General features: G+C 41.9%; 1 protein-coding gene across 28 annotated transcripts in view, besides 3 other annotated features; it reads right to left on the bottom strand.

The window, feature by feature from the left end:
• The window catches only part of ZNF254 (zinc finger protein 254), a 96,520-nt gene that overhangs the window by 34,185 nt on the left and 41,033 nt on the right, over positions 1 to 21,302 (bottom strand). For 4 of the 28 annotated variants that reach the window (NM_203282.4, NM_001278664.2, NM_001278678.2 and 1 more), the window contains exon 1: positions 8,447 to 8,597. The exons of 23 other annotated variants lie outside the window; for them this stretch is intronic. In NM_203282.4, the coding sequence (NP_975011.3) occupies positions 8,447 to 8,476 (30 nt within the window). In that variant the 5' untranslated portion in view covers positions 8,477 to 8,597. Of the gene's footprint in view, positions 1 to 3,768; positions 3,884 to 8,446; positions 8,598 to 21,302 lie in introns of those variants that run through there. One more of the 28 variants, NM_001278662.2, reaches the window with a different exon arrangement.
• Positions 8,222 to 8,311: an enhancer, noted in NCBI's record as "active region_14400". NCBI's record gives its function as "activates an Ori minimal core promoter by ATAC-STARR-seq in GM12878 lymphoblastoid cells {active_cell/tissue: GM12878}" and the evidence as "EXISTENCE:reporter gene assay evidence [ECO:0000049][PMID:35858748]".
• Positions 8,372 to 8,421: an enhancer, noted in NCBI's record as "active region_14399". NCBI's record gives its function as "activates an Ori minimal core promoter by ATAC-STARR-seq in GM12878 lymphoblastoid cells {active_cell/tissue: GM12878}" and the evidence as "EXISTENCE:reporter gene assay evidence [ECO:0000049][PMID:35858748]".
• Positions 8,472 to 8,551: an enhancer, noted in NCBI's record as "active region_14398". NCBI's record gives its function as "activates an Ori minimal core promoter by ATAC-STARR-seq in GM12878 lymphoblastoid cells {active_cell/tissue: GM12878}" and the evidence as "EXISTENCE:reporter gene assay evidence [ECO:0000049][PMID:35858748]".

Raw genomic sequence — 21,302 nt, 5'->3', positions numbered from 1 at the left:
ACCACTAACTAGATAAGGAAGAAGGACCCAAATAAACACAATTAGAAATAACAAAAGAGACATTACCACTGACCCCACAAAAATATCTTGAAATGTACTATGAACACCTCTGTGCACACAAACAAGACAATCTAGAAAAAATGAAAAAGGTATTGAACAAATACATCCTTCCAAGAATTAACAAAAAAGAAATGAAACCCCTAAATAGATGAATAAGAAGCTCAAAAATTGAATTAGTAATAAATAGCCTACCAACCAAACAAAGCCAAGGACCAGACAGATTCACAGCTGAATTCTATCAGATGTACAAAAAAGTGCTGATTATTATTTCTACAGAAACTATTTTAAGCAATTAAGAAAAAGTAACTTGTTTTCAACTCATTATATAAGAACAGCACTATTCTGATACCAAAACCTGGCAAAGATAAAACAAACAAAAAAAAATTCAGGCCAATACCTTTGAACATTGATGCAAAAATCTTCAACAAAATACTGACAAACCAAATCCAGCAGCATATCAAAAAGCTAACCCAGTATGATCAAGTAGAATTTATTCTGGGAATGTAAGGTTGGTTCAACATACACAAATCAATAAATGTGATTCATCATATAAACAAAACTAGACAGAAACCACAAGATTACCACAATAGATGCAGAAAAAGCTTTTGATAAAATTTAACATCTTTCATGTTAAAAACCCTCAACAACCTAGCCATTGAAGGTACATACTTTAAAATAATAAGTTATCTATATGACAAACCATCAGCCAACATACTGAATGGACAAAACCTGGAAGTGGACGGGTGCAGTGGCTCATGCCTGTAATTCCAGCAACTTGGGAGGCCAAGGCAGGTGGATCCCCTGAGGTCAGGATTTTGAGATCAACCTGGCTAACATGGCAAAACCCTGTCTCCACTAAAAATATAAAAATTAGCCAGGTGTGATGGCAGGTGCCTGTAATCCCAGCTACTTGAGAGGCTGAGCAAAGAGAATCACTTGAACCCAGAAGGTGGAGGCTGCAGAGCGCCGAGATTGTGCCACTGCACTCCAGCCTGGGAGACAAAGTGAGACTCTATCTCAAAAAGAAAAGAAAAAAAAAACCCGAAGCATTCTTCTTTGGAAACTGGCACAAGGCAAAGATGCCTTCTCTCAACACTACTATTCAACATAAAATTGGAAGTACTTGTCAGAGTAATTAGGCAAAAGATAAAAATAAAAGGCATTTGGCCAGGTAAGGTGACTCACGCCTGTAATCCCAGCACTTTGGGAGGCCAAGGTGGGTGGCTCACGAGATCAGAAGTTCGAGACCAGCCTGGCCAACATGGTGAAACCCCACCTCTACTAAAAATACAAAAATTAACCAGGCGCAGTGGCGGATGCCTGTAATCCCAGCTACTCAGGAGGCTGAGGCAAGAGAATCACTTGAACCTGGGAGGTGGAGTTTGCGGTGAGCCAAGACTGCCACTTCACTCCAGCCTGGGCGAAGAGCAAGACTCCATCTCAAAAAAATAAAAATAAAAATAAATAAAAGGCATTTAAACAGGAAGAGAGGAAGTCAAACTATCCCTGTTTGCAGACAACATAATTCTCCATCTGGAAAACCATATAGTCTTCATAGAAAAGCTCTTTAACTTACAAACAACTGCAGTATCATTTCAGGATACAAAGTAAGTGTACAAAAATTAGTAGCGTCCCTGTAAATCAACAACATCCAAGCCAAATACGAATCATAAACACAATCCCTTCACAACTGCCACAAAAAGAATAAAATATCTACGAATACCAGGAAGGTGAAAGATCTCTATAAGAATTGCAAAACAATGCTTAAAGAAGTCAGAAATGGCACAAATGGAAAACAACTTTATGCTCATAAATAGAAAAGATCAATATCCTAAAAATGATCATACTGCCCCCCAAAATTTACAGATTTAATGCTATTCTAATCAAATGACCAAAATATTTTTAAAAGAACTAAAAAAAAAAATTATTGTAAAATTCATATAAAACCAAAGAGTCTGAATAGCCAAGGTAATCACAAGCAAAAACAGCAAAGCTGAAGGCATTACATTACCTGTCTTCAAATTATACTACAGAGCTGCAGTAAACAAAGCAACATGGAACTGGTACAAAAACAAACTCATAGACCAATGCAACAGAATAGACAGTCCAGAAATAATGTCACTCACCTACAACCATCTGATCTTTAACAAAGGTGACAATAGAAATGTGGAACCAATTCCCTATGTAATAAATGGTGGTGGAATAACTAGCAAGCACTATGTAGAAGATTGAAACTGGACCCCTTTATTACACCATATACAAAAATCAACTCAAGATTAAAGACTGAAATGTTTATTTTAACATTATAAAAAACCCTGGAAGATAACTTAGGAAATGTCATTCTAGACATAGAATCTAGCAGAGAATTCATAATTGAAGATACAAAAAGCAACTGCAAAAAAACCAAAAATTGACAAATTGGACCTAATTAAACTAAAGAGCTTCTTCACAGCAAAGGAAACTATCAACACAGAAAACAGAGAACCAACAGAATAATAGGAAATATTTGCAAACTATGCTTCTAACAAAGGTCTAATGTCCAGAATTCATAAAAATCTTAAGTTTACAAGAAAAAAAAGACCTCACTAAAAAGCAGACAAAAAACTTGAAAAAGATGCTTTTCAAAAGAAGACAAACATGTGGCTAACACACATATAATAAAATGCCTATCAATAATTATTGGAGAAATGCAAAGAAAAACCACGAGATACAATCTCATGCCAGTGAGAACGGCTATTAAAAAGCAAAAAAATAGATGATGTCAAGGTTGCAGAGAAAAGGGAACGCTTATACACTGCTGTTAAAGTGTACATTAATTCAACCATTGTAAAAAGCAGTGTGGCAATTTCTCACAGAACTAAAAACAGAATTACCATTTCATCAAGCAACCTAATAATTGGGTATATACCCAAAGAAATATAAATTATTCTGTCATAAACACACATGCACAAGGGTGTTCACTACAGCACTATTCACAATAGCAAAGACATGGAATCGACTTGAATGCCTATCAATGGTAGACTGAATAAAGAAAATATGGTATGATCAGGCACAATGGCTCATGCCTGTAATCCCAGCACTCTGAGAGGCCAAGGCAGGTGGATTGCCTGAGCTCAGGAGTTTGAGACCAGCCTGAGCAACATGGAAAAATCCCATCTCTAAAAAAATACAAAAACAAAAATTACCTAGGTATGGTGGTGCATGCCTGTAGTCCCAGGTACGTGGAAGGCTGAGGTACAAGAGGATTGCTTGGCCCAGCGTGATGGCTCACACCTGTAATCCCAGCACTTTGGGAGGCCGGGGGGGAGGGTGGATCACCTGAGGTCAGGAGTTCAAGACCAGCCTGGCCAACATGATAAAACCCCATCTCTACTAAAAATACAAAAATTAGCTGGGCATGGTGGTGGTGGGTGCCTGTAATCCCAGCTATTCGAGAGGCTGAAGCAGGAGAATTGCTTGAACCCAGGAGGTGTAGGTTGAGGTGAGCCGAGATCGCCCACTGCACTCCACTCAGGGCAACAACATCAAAATTCCATTTAAAAAAAAAAAAAAGGCCAGGCACAGTGGCTCATGCCTGTAATCCCAGCACTTTGGGAGGCCGAGGTGGGTGGATCACGAGGTCAAGAGATCGAGACCATCCTGGCCAACATGGTGAAATCCTGTTTCTACTAAAAATACAAAAAATTAGCTGGGCGTGGTAGCGGGCACCTGTAGTTCCAGCTGCTCGAGAGGCTGAGAACGGCGTGAACCCGGGAGACAGAGCTTGCAGTGAGCTGAGATTGCGCCTCTGCACTCCAGCTTGGCCAACAGAGCGAGACTCCATCTCAAAAAAAAAAAAAAAATTAATCACATAGGAACACTTCTAGGAGGTACCAAGTTTCATCACATAAAATTTAGCATTAAACTCAAAAATCAAAATAACAGGATATAGGGCTGGGCGCAGTGGCTCACACCTGTAATCCCAGCACTATGGGAGGCTGAGGTGGGCAGATCACTTGAGGTCAGGAGTTCGAGACCAGCCTGGCCAACATGGTGAAACCCCATCTCTACTAAAAATACAAAAACTAGCCAGGTGTGGTGGCACAGGCCTGCAGTCTCAGCTACTCCGGAGGCTGAGGAAGGAGAATCACTTGAACCTGGGAATTGGAGGTTGCAGTGAGCTAAGATTGCACCATTGCACTCCAGCCTGGGTGTCGCAGTGCAACTCTTTATCTCAAAAAACAATCAAACACACAAAAAAACACAGGATATAGAACAAAGATGTTCACTACCAAGGATTTACCCTGCTAAAAAAAGGAATTGAAGTTTTCAGGAATCTATTTAACTCATCAATTATCTATCACATTGTTTTGTGGAAATGTATTCATTGTCTACAGCTGAAATTGAAGAGAGATTTTTTTTTTTTTTTCTTTATTTTTTTCCTTGGTAGCTACCATTCTAAAAGCTAGATGGAATTCTGTTTGAAATCACTCAGCCATAGGCCAAGCACGGTGGTTGATGCCTGTAATCCCAGCACTTTGGGAGGCCCAGGCGGGCGGATCACCCGAGGTCAGGAGTTCAAGACCAGCCTAACATGGTGAAACCCTGTCTCTACTAAAAATACAAAAATTAGCTAGGTGTGGTGGTGTGTGCCTGAAATCCCAGCTACGCAGGAGGCTGAGGCAGGAGAATTGCTCGAACCCGGGAGGCAGAAGTTGCAGTGAGCCAAAGTGGCGCCACTGCACTCCAGCCTGGGCGACAGAGTGAGACTCTGTCTCAAAAAAAAAAAAAAAAAAAAAAATCACTCCTCCATAAAAAAAAACATGTCCGAGAAACTTCCTAAACTCACTCTGAGAAAGAAAAAGGTAAATGAAAATGTTCAACAAATAAAATATATTATTAGATATTAATGTTTTTGAAACTCACCTCTTTTATGCCCTTTGCAAATATTTTCTTACCTTTCAAGCTCTACTAATAAAATGCAATACACAGTTAAAAAACCGAGGTGAGCTGGGCACAATGGCTCACGCCTGTAATCTCAGCACTTTGGAAGGCTCAGGCAGGTGAGTCACTTGAGGCCAGAAGTTTGAGAACAGCCTAGCTAACATGGTGAAACTCTGTCTCTACTAAAACTACAGAAACTAGCTGAGTGTGGTGGTGCACACCTGTAGTCCCAGCTACTTGGGAGGCTGAGGCATGAGAATCACCTGAACTCAAGATCTGGAGGTTGCAGTGGACCGAGATGGTACCACTGCGCTCCAGCCTGGGTGACAGAGGGAAACTGTCTCAAGACAACGAAAACAAGCCTTAGGTCAAAATAAGTGAAAAAACCTTTTCAAGACACAGATATGTCTTAATCATGTGTCAAGTCAGGCCATCCAATTACTTGAGAGACTGTCCCACCCCATCCTACTCACTAAAGTGCTCAATAACCCCCTCTCAGGAGACTCTGAACTATGCCCCAGTGAGTGTCTCAGGCGCATTTTACTCTGCAAGTTCTTACACCATCTCACTGGGGTCAGTTTTTTGCGGTTTGTTTTTGTTTTTGAAATGGAGTCTCACTCTGTCGCCCAGGCTGGAGTGCAGTGGCGTGATATCCACTCACTGCAACCTCCGCCTCTGAGGTTCAACTGATTCTCCTGCCTTAGCCTCCTGAGTAGCTGCGATTACAGGCCTGTACCACTACACCCAGCTTTTTTTTTTTTTTTTTCGTATTTTTAGTAGAGATGGGGTTTCACCATGTTGGCCAGCTGGTCTCGAACTCCTGACTTCGTGATCCACCCTCCTTGGCCTCCCAAAGTGTAGGGATTACAGGCATGAGCCACCATGCCTGGCCCTCGTTTTTGTTTTGTTTTGTTTTGTTTTCTAGAAATTTTTTACTATTTTTCTGTTCTCTAAAGGAAACCAGGAGGCAGAAATTATTTGTTTTCTCCTCAATACTGGTATCTGATTGACTGACCAGCAATGTGTCTTTAAGAAATGAAAGCTGGGTTGGGTGAAGACAATATTAATGTCTCATAAAATTAGCTTTAAAAAAAAAAGTGCACTAGGAAATGCCTTTTAGACTCAGGGCATCCACCTGCGCACTTGGGACGCTACACTCAATACCTCAGATTTTCCTATGAGAGAATATGACCCAGAAGCTGATATTTACTAGACACTCTAAGCAGACATAGCCATGGTGGGTATCTTCGTTTATCCCAATACAGTACTGAAACCCAGGTCCAAGAAAACCGAATGGTGACTGAAGACACATCACACTATAGTTTCCAAAAGGAAAACTTGACCCAAAAACATTCTGATAAGATATCTGTGACTAGGGAAGATAGAAGAAAAAAAAACGCAGAGATATTTTACAATACAGTGTCAGGAGATTATTCTTTGCTTTCTTCTCATAGGAAATATTTACAAAAAGAAAACAAACCTTTTTAAATGTGCCATCAAATGCTTTGTCAAAAAATGATTAATTGGCCGGGTGCAGTGGCTCACGCCTGTAATCCCAGCACTTTCGGAGGCCAAGGCGGGCGTATCACCCGAGGTCGGGAGTTTGAGACCAGCCTGACCAACATGGAGAAACCCTGTCTTTACTAAAAACACAAAATTAGCCAGGCATGGTGGCACATGCCTATAATCCCAGTTACTAGGGAGGCTGAGGCAGGAGAATCGCTTAAACCTGGGAGGCGGAGGTTGCGGTGAGCCGAGATCGTGCCATTGCACTCCAGCCTGGGCAACAAGAGTGAAACTCTGTCTCAAAAAAAAAAAAAAAAAAAAAAAAAAAAAGATTAATTGGCCAGGCGAGATGGCTCACGTCTGTAATACCAGCTCTTGGGGAGGCTGATGCAGGCGGATCGCTTGAGGCTAGGAGTTTGAAACCAGCCTGGACAACATAGTGAAGCCCGGTCTCTACTAAAAATACAAAAATTAGCCAGGCGTGGGGGCGGGCGCCTATAATTCCAGCTACTTGGGCGACTGAGACAAGAGAATCATTTGATCCCATAAGGCAGAGGTTGCAGTGAGCCTAAATCACACCACTGCACCACTGCACTCCATCCGGGGTGACCGAGCAAGCCTCTGTCTCAAAAATTAAAATAAATAAATAAATAAAAATTAAAACAGGTATCAAAATCTACCCTAAAGGACAAATAGATGATAAAGTGAATTAGGGAGGGGACATTGGCATTTGGGAATGTCAGACAAAACGGGAAATTTAGTATTTTCCTGCAAGCCAGAGTTAGGCTGGAGGAATAGGGGATGAGGGGTGGACTTGAGGCCCTGCTTGGGATACATGTGAAAATTTCAGGAAAAAAGCAGTCCCCTGTGGAGTGTGAAAATAATTAAGTGGCAGGCAATTAGATTGAGGTGGCTCTAGTCCCCGGATTTCTACTTCTAAAAAAAAAATCTAAACTCAAGAGCATTTTTTGGTAAATTACTACATTAGCGGAAACAAAATTCTTGCTTAACCAAGAATAAGCTGACAATTAAGCTCTGATTACATAACCAGGATATTCCCACCTTAAATGTAAAAATTAAGAAACGAGGCTGGGCACGGTGGCTCACGCCTGTAATCCTAGCACTTTCGGAGGCCAAGGTGGGTGGATCACCTGAGGTCAGGAGTTGGAGACCAGCCTGGCCAACATGGTAAAACCCCGTCTCTACTAAAAATAAAAAAATTGTGGTGGCGGGCGCCTGTAGTCCCAGCTACTAGGGAGGCTGAGGCAGGAGAATCGCTTGAACCCAAGAGGCGGAGGTTGCAGTGAGTCGAGATCACACCACTGCACTCCAGCCTGAGCAAAAAAGTGAGACTCTGTCTCAAAAAAAAGAAAAAAAAAAAAAAAAAACGACAACCTAGATTGCTGTACCTAGCCAATTATTGAATTTGGTTTTCTTTATCATGAACCTTGTAACAATCTTTTCTTCAGGCCCCTTCCATGGACCACAAAAGTACAAACCACAGCTGGGTGTGGTACAATTTTTGAATCATTCTTTTATTAAAGTATTTAATATTTTTGCAGTGACGCCCATAAATTTTTAATGGGAAAAAAGAGGGCCTGGGAACCCCACAGACCAAAGCTCTTCCCGTTCATGAACCCGCAACCCGAGTCAGGATTCTCCCCTGACGACCCTCCCCGGGTCCCTGAACAATCTGGGAGAGACGCGGGGCTGCGGGTCCACAGCTGCCCAGAGAGGGCTCCAGGACAGGGCACAGTCACTGCGCAGGGAAGAAACAGGACTCCTGGGGGTCTGGCTGTCAGCGCAGCCGCCATCTTATTTCTGAAGGGGACTGAGGTCGAGCTGGGCGCAGATTGTGGAGCTGACTGGGGGGAGGCCTGAGTCCCGCCACAGCCGCTTCCCACCAGTTCCAACCAGCCCCCTCCCCTCTCTCGGGATGTCGGACTGGCATTCTCACCATTTCTAGGCTTCTAGGGGGTCCTGGCATCTTAGCTGTGGATCTCCAATACCTGCTGGTAACAGCGCCACAGAGGCTGGGCCTCTAGGAGCAGAGGACACAGAGCAGTGAAGACAGACCTGGGACTCCGGCGACAGCGAGAGACAAAGGCCCCGCCATATCCCGGAAGCCGCTTTGTCCAGTCCAGCTGTGTGCCTGATTGGACAGTTCCCAGCCCAACGTCCCTAGTTGGATAACGTTTAAGGCCCCGCCTACTCAGACCCTGAGTGATAGAAGATGTGATCACACCCTAGGCTGAAGAAAGAGTGACAGCCTAAGCTGCAGCCTTATCGGGCAGGGCTTCCTCCCTGAGCTGAGCCAGGCCCACCCCAGAGCATGGGAAAATTCTATATCTTTTTTGCTCTCTCTCTTTTTCAATGTATTCAAAATGTGAACAAACATATTTTATGTATATTAATAATACATATAATTTTTGTTCAAGAGAAAATCAACTTTTACTTTAGTAATAATGTATTATCAGCACTAAAGCTAATTTGATAAACCGTTATAAGTAAATCCATCAGCTGGGCGCGGTGGCTCACGCCTGTAATCCCAGCACTTTCGATGGCCAAGGCGGGCGGATCACATTAGGTCATGTGTTGGAGACCAGCCTGACTATCATGGTGAAACCTCATCTCTACTAAAAATACAAAATTAGCTGGGCGTAGTGGCACGTGCCTGTAATACCAGCTTCTCGGGAGGCTGAGGCAGGAGAACTGCTTGAACCTGGGAGGTGGAGGCTGCAGTGAGCGTGGATCGCGTCATTACACTCCAGCCTGGACAACAAGAGTAAAATTCCGTCTCAAAAAAATAAAAGAAAAAAAAATTAGCTGGGCATGGTGGCGCACGCCTATAACCCCAGCTTCTCGGGTGGCTGAGGCAGCAGAATTCCTTGAACCCGGGGGGCTGAGGTTGCAGTGAGTCAAGATCCTGCCACTGCACCCTAGCCTGGGCGACAGAGCGAGACTTTGTCTCAAAAAATAAAATAAAATAACAAAAATAAAGTCCATCAAATTTGTCTTTTTGACCATTCTAGATTTTTATACATATTTTATGATCTCTTATACTTTTTTTTATTTTTTATTTTTTGTCTAGACGAAGTCTAGCTCTGTCGCCCAAGCTGGAGTACAGTGGCGCCATCTTGGCTAACTGCAACCTCTGCCTCCTGGGTTCAAGCGATTCTCCTGCCTCAGCCTCCCGAGTAGCTGGGATTACAGGCGTGCATCACCAAACCTGGCTAATTTTTTGCATTTTTAGTAGAGACGGGGTTTCACTATGTTGCCAGGCTGGTCACGAACTCTTGGCCTCAGGTAATCCACCCGCCTCAGCCTCCCAAATTACTGGGATTACAGGCGTGAGCCATCGTGCCTGGCCATTTTTTAAATTTTTATGTTGTATTTTAATCTACATTATTTTTATATTTTCAATTTGAAACAACCTTTAAATAATTTCAAAGTAGACAAAATGTTTCTAACTTTCTTCATCAAAAGCATATTTTGCTTTTGTTTATACACTGTTTTTTTATTTCCAGGAGAGGCTTGCTCTTTCGCCCAGGCTGAAGTGCAGTGGCGCAATCTTGGCTCACTGCAACCTCCGCCTCCCAAGTTCAAGCGATTCTCCAGCCTCAGCCTCTGGAGTAGCTGGGACTACAGGTGTAAGCCATCATGCCCGGTTTATTTCTGTATTTTAAGTAGGGACTGGAATTTGCCTTGCTGTTCAGGCTGGTCTCAAACTCCTAAGCTCGAAATGATCCACCTGCCTTGGCCTCCCAAAGTGTTGGGTGTTGGGATTACAGACGTGACCCACTGCGCCTGGCCTTTGTTTATACACTCTCTATAAAAAAATTGTTTTACACCTAGAAATCTTAGTTTTTATATATATATATATATACCCTTAACAAACTAATTTTTAGTGAAACCCCTAGGAAGTAATTTTGAACTGTTTTGTATCAATATTTGTAGATAAAAAATTTTATGTTTTTTAATAAAAGACGTTTATTCAAATTTTCTGTTAAGTAACAGATCTAAATATAGTTAGCTTTTCTATATCATGTTAAAAAAAATTCTGGGCTGGGTGCAGTGGCTCACGCCTGTAGTCCCAGCACTTTGGGAGGCCGAGGTGGGTGGATCACGAGGTCAGGAGTTCAAGACCAGCCTGGCCAATATGGTGAAACCCCCATCTCCACTATTAAATACAAAAATTAGCTGGGCGTGGTGGCGCGTGCCTGTAGTCCCAGCTACTCAGAGGCTGAGGCAGGAGAATCGCTTGAACCTGACAGGAGGAGGTTGAAGTGAGCCAAGATCAGGTCACTGCACTCCAGCCTGGGTGACAGAGTGAGGCTCTGTCTCAAAAAAAAAAAAAAAAAAGATTGTGGTCACTCATGATGGCTCATGTTTATAATCCCAGCACTTTGGGAGGCCAAGAAATGAAGACTGCTTAAGCCCAGGAATTTGAGATCAGCCTGGGCAACATGGCAAAAACATGTATCTAAAAAAATACAAAAGTTAACTGAGCATGGTGGCCTGTACCTTTAGTACCAGCTGTTCAGGAGGCGGAGGGAGGAGGATTGCCTGAACCAAGGAGGTCGAGGCTGCAATGAGCCCTGATTAAGCCACTGCACTCTATTCTGGGTGACAGAGTGAGACCCTTTCTAAAAAATAAAAAATAAACCAAAAACAGCCAAAGCATAGAAAGTTAAACTTACGGGGTTTGGGATTATTTTTTGTTTATTATTATTATTATTATTTCCAAAGTTTTTAAGGTACAGAAGATGTTTGGATACATGGATAAGTTCTTTTGTAGTGATTTCTAATATTTAGGAGCACCCATCTCCCAAGCAGTGTGCACTGTACCCAATATGTAGTCTTTTATCCGTCACTCTTCTCCTACCCTTGCCACTGAGTACCCACAGTCCATTATATAATTCTTATGCCATTGCATTCTCATAGCTTAGTTCCCACTTATAAGTGAGAACATACAATATTTGTTTTTTTCATTTTTTAGTTACTTCACTTAGAATAATGTTCTTCAACTCCATTGAGGTTGCTGCAAGTGCTATTATTTTATTCCTTGTTATGATTGAGTAGCATTCATTGGTGTATATATATTATTATAAATATATTATATATTATTTATATATATTATATATATATAAAGAAAATGTGGTATATGCCACATTTTCCTTTTCCACTCATTAGTTGATGGGCATTAATTAGGCTGCTTCCATTCTTTTGCAATTGCAAATTGTGCTGCTATAAACATGCATGTGCAAGTATCTTACTCATATAATGACTTATTTTTCACCATGTAGATACCCAGTAGTGGAATTGCTGAATCAAACGGTAGTTCTACTTTTAATTTTTTAATGAATCTCCATACTGTTTTCCATAGTGTTGTACTAGTATACATTCCCACCAGCAATGTAAAAGTATTCCCTTTTCACCAAAACCATGCGAACATGCATTATTTTTGATGTTTTAATTATGGTCATTTTTGCAGGAATAAGGTGGTATCACATTGTGGTTTTGATTTGCATTTTCCTGATCATTAATCATTAGTAATGTTGAGCATTTTTATCTACGTTAGTTGGCCATTTGTATATCTTCTTTTGAGAATTAATTAAGTCTCATCTGTCTTTGTTTCATGTTGCATGTGCTTTTGGGTTCTTGGTCATCTACGCTTTGCCAAAGCCAATGTCTAGAAGAGTTTTTCCAGTATTACCTTCTACAATTTTTATAGTTTCAGGTCTTAACATTTTTGATCCATCTTGAGTTTATTTTTGTTTTGCTTAGTCTTGCTTTGTCTATGCAGGTTCTTTTTTGTTTCATATGAATTTTAGAGTTTTTTAGTTATGTGAGGAAATTATGATGTTATTTTCATAGGAATTGTATTGAATTTGTAGCTTGCTTTTGGTAATATGATTTTTACAATACTAACCCTACCCATCTATAAGCATGGGATGTGTTTTTATTTGTATGTGTCATCTATGATACCTTTCAGACATATTTTACAGTTTTTCTTGTAGAGATCTTTCATGGCCTTCATTAGGGATAATCCTAATTATTAGTATTATTTTTTTGCAGCTGCTTTAAAAGGGGTTGAGTTCTTGATTTAAATATCAGTTTGGTCACTGTTGGTGTATACCAATGCCACTAATATGTGCACATTAATTTTGTATCCTAAAACTTTACTGAATTGATCAGATCTAGATGCTTTTTTATGAGTATTTAGGGTTTCCTAATTATATGATTGTAACATCAGTGAACAGTGACAATTTGACTACCTCTTTACCAACTTGGAGGCTCGCTACTTATTTCTTTTCTCTAATTGCTCTGGCTGGGACTTCCAAGTACTATGTTGAATAGAAGTGATGAAAATGGGCACTATTGTCTTGTTCCATTTCTCAGAGAAAATGTTTCCAACTTTTTCCTGTTCAGTTTAATGTTTGCTGTGGGTTTGTCACAGATGGTTTAAAAAAAAATTGAAGAGATTGATTCTGAGCCATATATGAGTGACAATGGCCTGTGACACAGCTCTCAGGAGGTTCTGAGAACATGTGCCCAAGGTGGTCGGGGCAAAGCTTGCTTTTATACATTTTGTAATGAGACATCAATCAAATAGTTTTTTGGGTTTTTTTTTTTTGTTTTTTTGAGATGGAATCTCACTCTGTTGCCCAGACTGGAGTGCATTGGCGCGATCTGGGCTCACTGCAACCTCCGCCTCCCAGGTTCAAGAGATTCTTCTGCCTCAGCCTCCCAAGTAGCTGGGACTACAGGCACCCGCCACCACGCCTGGCTAATTTTTTTTTTTTTTTTTTAGTATAGATGGGGTTGCACCGTGTTAGCCAGGACGGTCTCGATCTCCTGACCTCGTGATCCGCCCGCCTCGGCCTCCCAAAGTGCTGGGATTACAGGCATGACCCACTGTGTCTGGCCCAGTTTTTGTTAAAGAATTACAGCAATTAGCTATACAAAACATAAGCATTGTTCTGAAAAATTAAATAAAATAATTTTGAATAAGTTTAATAATTAATTTACTATTGAGGAACACATTTACCATAGTTACAATGTTTTTACCTATGAGGAGATGTGCTCTGCCACAAGGGTTTGTGATAAAGAATCTTCTTAATTACTATATTTTGCGAGACTCGATATTATCTTTTTTTTTTTTTCTTTTGAGGCAGAGTTTCACTCTTGTTGCCCAGGCTGGAGTGCAATGGCACAATCTTGGTTCACTGCAACCTCTGCCTCCAAGGTTCAAGTGATTCTCATGCCTCATCCTCCAGAGTAGCTAGGACTACAGGTGCACACCACCACACCCAGCTAATTTTTGTATTTTTAGTAGAGACGGGGTTTCGCCATGTTAGCCAGGCTGGTCTCGAACTCCTGACCTCAGGTGATCCACCTGCCTTGGCCTCCCAATGTGCAGGGATTACAGGCGTGAGATACTGTACCCATCGGAATTATTTCTTTTAGTAGTTTAGAAACCTTGATTGCCTTTTCAGACTTGGTAGGAAAAGCCTCAATCCAAACGGTAAAGGTGTCAATGAATACTAATCAATATTTAAACCCTTTACACGGGGGCATCTGAGTATAGTCTATTTGCCAGTCTTCACCAGGGTATGCTCCTCTATGCTGAACAGGCCTTACTAAAGGAGGAGGTAAACATTGGTCATTTGGGTTGTTCCAGGCATATAGTTCACAGGCCTGGGTTACCTGGTTTACTCTTTTAAGTAATTATTTTTCTATAAAAAGCCGAGATATTAAACAGGGAATTTATTCCCAAATGAGTAGAGTCATGCAAATGTTTAACTATTTTTTATTGATTAGCACCTCATATCAGGTTAATTGGAGTGTCTAGCAAAATGTCTGCTATTTCAATAAGTGTCCCCTGTCATCCACTGGTGTCTTTTGGCTTATAGAACTCCTCATACTTGGTGTGGGCTTAAACCTCAGAATGTTGTTCTAAAGCCAGTTTATTGGCTTTATCTACTGAAAGAGAAATTGCTACGACTTCCCTGAGGCATCCGGGCATGATAAGGAAGTTATGTAAGAAAACCGAAGTCACTGAAAAACAGCTTAGAGATTATGTAAAATGGCATCTATGGGCTTGTCAATCTATCCCCGTGACCATACAGTTTGGGGGTGAAACAGACCCATTATAATGGGTCAAAACAGAGTAAGCAGTCCAGAAGAAAGTTAATATTCTTTTTTTTTTTTTTTTGAGAAGGAGTCTCACTCTGTCGCCCAGGCTGGAGTGCAGTGGCATGATCTCAGCTCACTGCAACTTCGGCCTCCCGGGTTTATGTGAATCTCTTGCCTAAGCCTCCTGAGTAGCTGGGATTACAAGCATGTGCCACCACGCCCAGCTAATTTTGTATTTTTACTAGAGATGGGGTTTCTCCTTGTTGCTCAGGCTGGTCTCGAACTCCCGACCACCCACCTCAGCCTCCCAAAGTGCTGGGATTACAGGCATGAGGCAACTCGCAACTCATCTAGCTTCCTTTTTTTTTTTTTTTTTTTGAGACGGAGTCTCTGTTTCCCAGGCTGGAGTGCAGTGGCACGATCTCAGCTCACTGCAACCTCCGCCTCTCAGGTTCAAGCAATTTCTGGCTAATTTTTTGTATTTTTAGTAGAGATGGGGTTTCACCATGTTGGCCAGACTAGTCTTGAACTCCTGACCTCAAGTCATCCACCCACCTCGGCCTTCCAAAGTGCTAGGATTACAGGTGTGAGCCACCGCACCTGGTGAAACTTCATATTCTTAACTGCCATGGCAAAAAATACTGAGGCTTTTCCAGATATATGGCTAGTTGTCTGATGGAAACCGTGGTGGAAGGTCTCAGTCCCCGTCACTCTTGGGTGCTTGCCTGGCTGTTTTACCCATCATTAGTTCACGTGCTGATGGCTCTCTTCAGAACACTGGACAAACCCTCTTCCAGTGGTCAGTTTTCTTACAGTGTGCAACCTGATTTATGCCCAAGGCACAGTGACTCGGACACCCAGGTTTAGGCTTCCCACCTTTCAGCTTCCCTTGTTCAACCCAAGACCCAGGAGGGCAACCCCATGTGGGAGGTTAGCTTAAGGTTGCAACCAAGACCTGCAACTTGTGGGAGGTCCTTCTTCCTCTTTCCGCTACCTCCGCTTTGTCCCTGTTATTAAAAACTAAAAATGCCATATCCAAAGCTGTTCCAGAGAAGTTTGGGGACCCATAGCTGCTTTTAGTAGTTTTCTATGGATATCAGGGGCAGACTGGGTTATAAAATGTACTCCCAGAAGGGTCTATCTTTTCATTGAGGCAAGATCAGTGTTAGTATATTTTCTGATTGCCTCAACTAAACACTATTAAAACAAAGCTGGATTGTCATCTTTGCCCTGAGAAAGTTGCTTAACCTTTTCATTGTTAACAGGTTTTTTCATACATTTCTTCATCTCTTTCAACAAACAAGTGACCATATGATCTCTTCTTCCAAGTCCTCACACCCCCTTTGATAGTTCCACTCTAGATCTTGATCTGGAACTGCTATACCTCCTGTCTGATATATATTATGGTTCGGGTTGCAAGCCAATACCTCATCTGCATGAGTCCTAGCTGTCCCCAAAATGCATTGTTTTTCTTCCACTGTATAACACAGAGACAACAAAATGTACAGATCCTGCCATGTTAAACTGTAGGTCAGAGTTAACTTCTCAAACTCACCTATGAATTTTCCTGCATCTTCAGAGAAATGACCAAACTTGTCTTATTATAGAGCCAAACCAGACAGAGAAAAGGGGACACCTCCTCTCACAGGCCTTCTTCCCCATTTGCAACCTCTGTAGGTGGACAAAGATTTCCCCTTGGAGGTTGATAGGCAGCTCCACTATGAGTAGTACTCACTGGGCTAAGTTCTTCAGGGAGTGGTGGGTACAGAGTGGGACTAGAAGGGTAGGGAGGAGGGACAAATGGTTCTCAATAGAACTTTCAGGTGTATTAGTGGGAAAAAAGACCAACACATCTGAACCTTCAGACCTGACAGAAAGGTTCTGCTTCACCCAAAAATGCCCGCTGAACCAAGTGGCAGGGGGGCTTGAAATAAGGATCATCTTGTATGTCCAACTCTTTTTCTTCTATTTCTCTCATGAAACATGGACATGCCTGCTGCAGGGTTTCATTCTGACTGAGAAGCAAAAATGCTTGAACATATGGTATTTTATCCCATTTTCCCTACCACTTACAGAATAAATTGAGTTGAAGTATAAATATCCGTTAGAGGCAATTTTTCCTGTATCTTTCTGAAACTGCTTGCTGCTTTTCCATGCGTACCATCCTTAAGAAAGGGCACACTCTTAACCCAATCCGTAATCTCTGTTCCTGAGGTTTTAGTAACCTGATACTTCTGTTTTGTTGTAGACAGCCCTGACGATGAGTTTTCACCCCAGAGAACAGAATGACAAAAGATCAAGATGTGCTTGAAAAAGCTGATGGGGGGCATTGGGTCAGGAAAGGCCAGGCTGTCTAAGCATTCAGAGACACCTGTGCAACTGTCCTTGCAATTAGGAGCCAGGCCCCAAAAAGCTTCCCACTGCTTGTGTCTTTGACCTATGCTAGGCCCTGCTGTTGATTAGTTTCCTCTACTGAGCAGGTAGCTTATAGTTGGAGTATTTATACCAAGGAGAATGTTCCAGGCCAGCCCTCAGTCAACTTAAAATAATAAAAAAGGTTAAAATGTAACCTGAAATACATTTACTCAATGTCAGATATTGAGGATAGCCAAGAGGAGGACAGATTTAAGTTGCCCTGAATATATATTTTAATTAGCAGCCATTGAAAGTGAGTCTTTTTGAAAAAGTGAGAAGGCAGTTCCTAAGTTATTTACCAAGAATTCATATTTAAATGCATAAGCTATTGATTGGCTGCATATATTCTTTTATTTTCCAAATTCCTAATAAAGAAATAATGGGTGAGACTGCTAGTCAGAAAGTAAATGTCTTTAAAGAATTGCCCCTAATCCCAGCACTTTGGGAGGCCGAAGTGGGCAAATCAGGTGAGATCAGCAGTTGGAGACCAGCCTGGCCAACATGGTGAAACCCGATCTCTACTAAAAATACAAAAATCAGCCGTGTGTGGTGGCATGTGCCTGTAATTCCAACTATGTGGGAGGCTGAAGCAGGAGAATCACTTGAACTCAAGAGGCAGGGTTGCAGCATGCCAAGATCATGCCACTGCACTCCAGCCTGGGTGACAGAGTGAGACTTCGTCTCAAAACAAACAACAACAACAACAAAAAATGCCCCTGGGTGAAGTTCCACAGTCTCATCTCTCTGGGCTTGATAAATTGTGCAGACCTCACAGAGCTGAGACTGTTCCAAGCTCTTTTTTTTTATTTTCACCTCCTTGCTGAGGACACATGTACTATTAACAAGAAACAAATTCAAACAAGAAACTTGGCAATCCACAAGAATAATGCCAGGAGGTGACCTCCAGGAACCTGCCTGTCACCTCCTTTCCCCACCCTGCCCTCCACTCCTTTAGACACACACACCCTGTATCACAAGACCAAAAAAACCACTCCATCAGCCACTGAGAAGCCACAGAAGAACCCAGAACCATGGCATGGCCACCTTGGGTCACCCTATAATGAACAGCCATTGTTAGCATTCAGGAGCTGTTTATTCCCATCTTCACACTACACTAAGTAACTTTCAACAGTTATAAGATAGACTGGCTGAAAGCTGATGCTTGGAACATCCCACATCACCCAGGAGCTCAGTGCTGCATTCTCAGGTACACACCTGTCCATCTTCCATTGAAGTGAAACAATTGCTATCAAGAAACCAGAGTCCCTGCAATGGTGGTGGATAAGTCTGGGGTGCAGTAGTGACCAGCTAGCAGTGCCTTGGCTGTGTAAAACAAAAGGTACCTGAGACAAGTGTCAATAAATTTGGAAAGTTTATTCTGCCAAGGTTAAGTAGGAGCCTGTGACACAGCCTCAGGAGGTCCTGATGACAGGTGCCCAAGGTGGTTGGGGTACAGTCTTCTAATACATTTTAGAAAGTCAAGAGACATCAATAACATGTTTAAGATGTACATTGGTGTGGTCAGGTAAGACAGGAAAACTTGAGGTTGGGGCTTCCAAGTCATAAGTAGATAAGAGAAAAAATAATAAATTTATTTGAGTCCTTGATAAGTCTCCCACTGAATACACAATTTAGCCTGGCTCAGTGAATCTGCATTTTAAAATTAACAATAGGGCAGAGGAAACAAACAGATCTGCATTTGTCTCAGGTGAGCCTCAGAGAGATAACTTTGAGTTCTGTCTGTCATCTATTCACTAGGAATTTCCTTCTGAGCAAATTGTGAGGTAGGTATGTAGCTTTTTATCTGTGTAGCTATCTTATTTAAGAATAAAATAGGAAACAGGTTTGCCTGATGTAGTCTCCAGCTTGACTTTTCTATTGGATTAGTAATTTTGGCATCAGGAGATTTATTTTTCTTTCACAGTGGGAACTCCTTGTATTATCAAGCGTATCTATTTAAACTTGACAGAATAAAACAATGTATCTATTCAGAAGTATTAACGGAAAACTTAAATTTTGACAAATACAAATATTGCTAAATCTTTCAGAATAGCCCATCCTAGGTCTTCCATTTCTTATTCACTGCAATTCAAATAAATTTTTTTCATAATTTTACAATGGATCTCTATGTCAGAGGCATTCAAACCAGAGCGACTCCATCTTGAATAGTGTTGAGGTGAAACGAGGCTGAGACCTACTGGGCTGCAACCCCAGGTTAGGCATTCTTAGTCACAGAATAACATAGGAGATCAGCACAAGATACACTTTACTTAGCAAAATGTCATAATCTTCCTGTAAGCTGGGTGCAGCCAGAATAGAGGAGTCACATATTTAGGTCATGGATGCAGAGATATGTTGCAGGAAGTCAGGGACCCCAAACGGAGGGACTGGCTGAAGCCGCAGCAGAATATAAATTGTGAAGATTTCATGGACATTTATTAGTTCCCCAAATTCATACTTTTATAATTTCTTGTGCCTGTCTTTACTGCAATCTCTGAACAGAAATTGTGAAGATTTCATGGACACTTATCACTTCCCCAATCAATATTCTTATAATTTCCTATGCCTGTCTTTAATCTCTTAATCCTGTCATCTTCATAAACTGAGGACGTATGTCACCTCAAGACCCTGTGATGATTGCATTATCTGTACAAATTGTTTGTAAAACATGTGTGTTTGAACAATATGAACTCTGGGCATCCTAAAAGAACACAATAACAGTGATTTTCAGGGAACAAGGGAGATAACCCTGACTGCCTGTAGGGCTGGGCAGAACAGAGTCATACTTCTCTTTTTGCAAAAGTGAATAGGAGAAATATCACTGAATTCTTTTTCTCAGCAAGGAACAGGCCTGGCAAAATAATGCACTCCCAGGGTGAGGCCTCTAAAATAACCACTCTGGGAGTGTCTGTCTTATGCAGTTGAAGATAAGGGATAAAATACACCCTGGTCTCCTGCAGCGCCCCCAGGCTTGCTAGGATTAGGAAATTACAGCCTGGTGAATTCTAGTCAGACCAGTTCTCTGCTTTTGAACTCTGTTTCCTGTTAAGATGTTTATCAATGACAATGCATGCACAGCGGGACATGGAACCTCATTAGTAATTCTAATTTCACCCTGGCCTTGTGATCTTGCTCTGCCCCCATTTGCCTTGTGATATTTTATCGCCTTTGAAGCATGTGATCTCTGTGACCCACACCCTATTCGTACACTCCCTCCCCTTCGAAAATCGCTAATAAAAACTTGCTGGTTTTGCGGCTCGGGGGCATCGTGGAACCTGCTGACATGTGATGTCACCCCGGAGACCCAGCTGTAAAATTTATTTCTTTTGTACTCTTTCTCTTTATTTCTCAGACTGGCCAACACTTAGGGAAAACAGAAAAGAACCTACATTGAAATATTGGGTGCTGGTTCCCCTGATAGAGATATGTCACAAAGCCCCCATGGGCAGGGTCAAGAAAGGAGCAGTCTGTTCCCTAGGTGTTGGGCCCAGCAATACTCAAAATATGTGAGACCCCCTCCCCCAAAAAAAGAGAATCACATCACTTAGGTGCTGGGTCAAGTGATATGTTGCAATTGCCCTTTGTGGCAGGTTCCAGTCATAAGAAGAGAGTCACAACACCTAAGTGATAAACAAAATGATATTTCATAATACCCTCCTGAAAAGAGTCCATGCAGAAGACTCATATTATGCAGGTGCTGGTTCCAGCCATACATCACAATACATGTATGCAGAGATCAGTCACAAAAATGAGTCATATTTTGGGCAGAGCCCAAGCCATAGAAGAGTCACATCATTTAGGTTCTGGGCCCAGAAATGTCACAATACCCTCTGGGAAAACAGCCCTAGCAGAAAATTCACATCATCTAAGTGAGAGGCTCAGAGATATGTCACAATGCCCCCTGTGGGTAGGGCTCACAGAGAAAAGATAGATTGCATAACCTAAGAGCTGGACCCAGCTACATATCACAATCACTCCAGTGGGCAGAGCCAAAGCATGAGAAGAGTCACATCACATAAGTGCTGGGCCAAGTGATACATCACAATCCTCACTGTGGACAGGCCCCAGAAAGAAGAGTAGAGTCACATCATCTAGGTAATGGGCCCAGAGATATGCCACAATAATCCCTGTGGACAGGGGCCAGATAGAAGAATGACGTAGCCTGTGTGCTTATCCCAGGGATAAGTCACGCTCTTTCATGGAAGCATGGCCATGGGAAGAAAGAATAGTCACATCATCTAAGTGCTGGTCCCAGAGAT

Source organism: Homo sapiens, chromosome 19 (assembly GCF_000001405.40).
Source record: "Homo sapiens chromosome 19, GRCh38.p14 Primary Assembly".
In the NCBI taxonomy this organism is placed as follows: Eukaryota; Metazoa; Chordata; class Mammalia; order Primates; family Hominidae; genus Homo; species Homo sapiens.
This window is presented reverse-complemented; position numbering and strand designations above follow the sequence as displayed.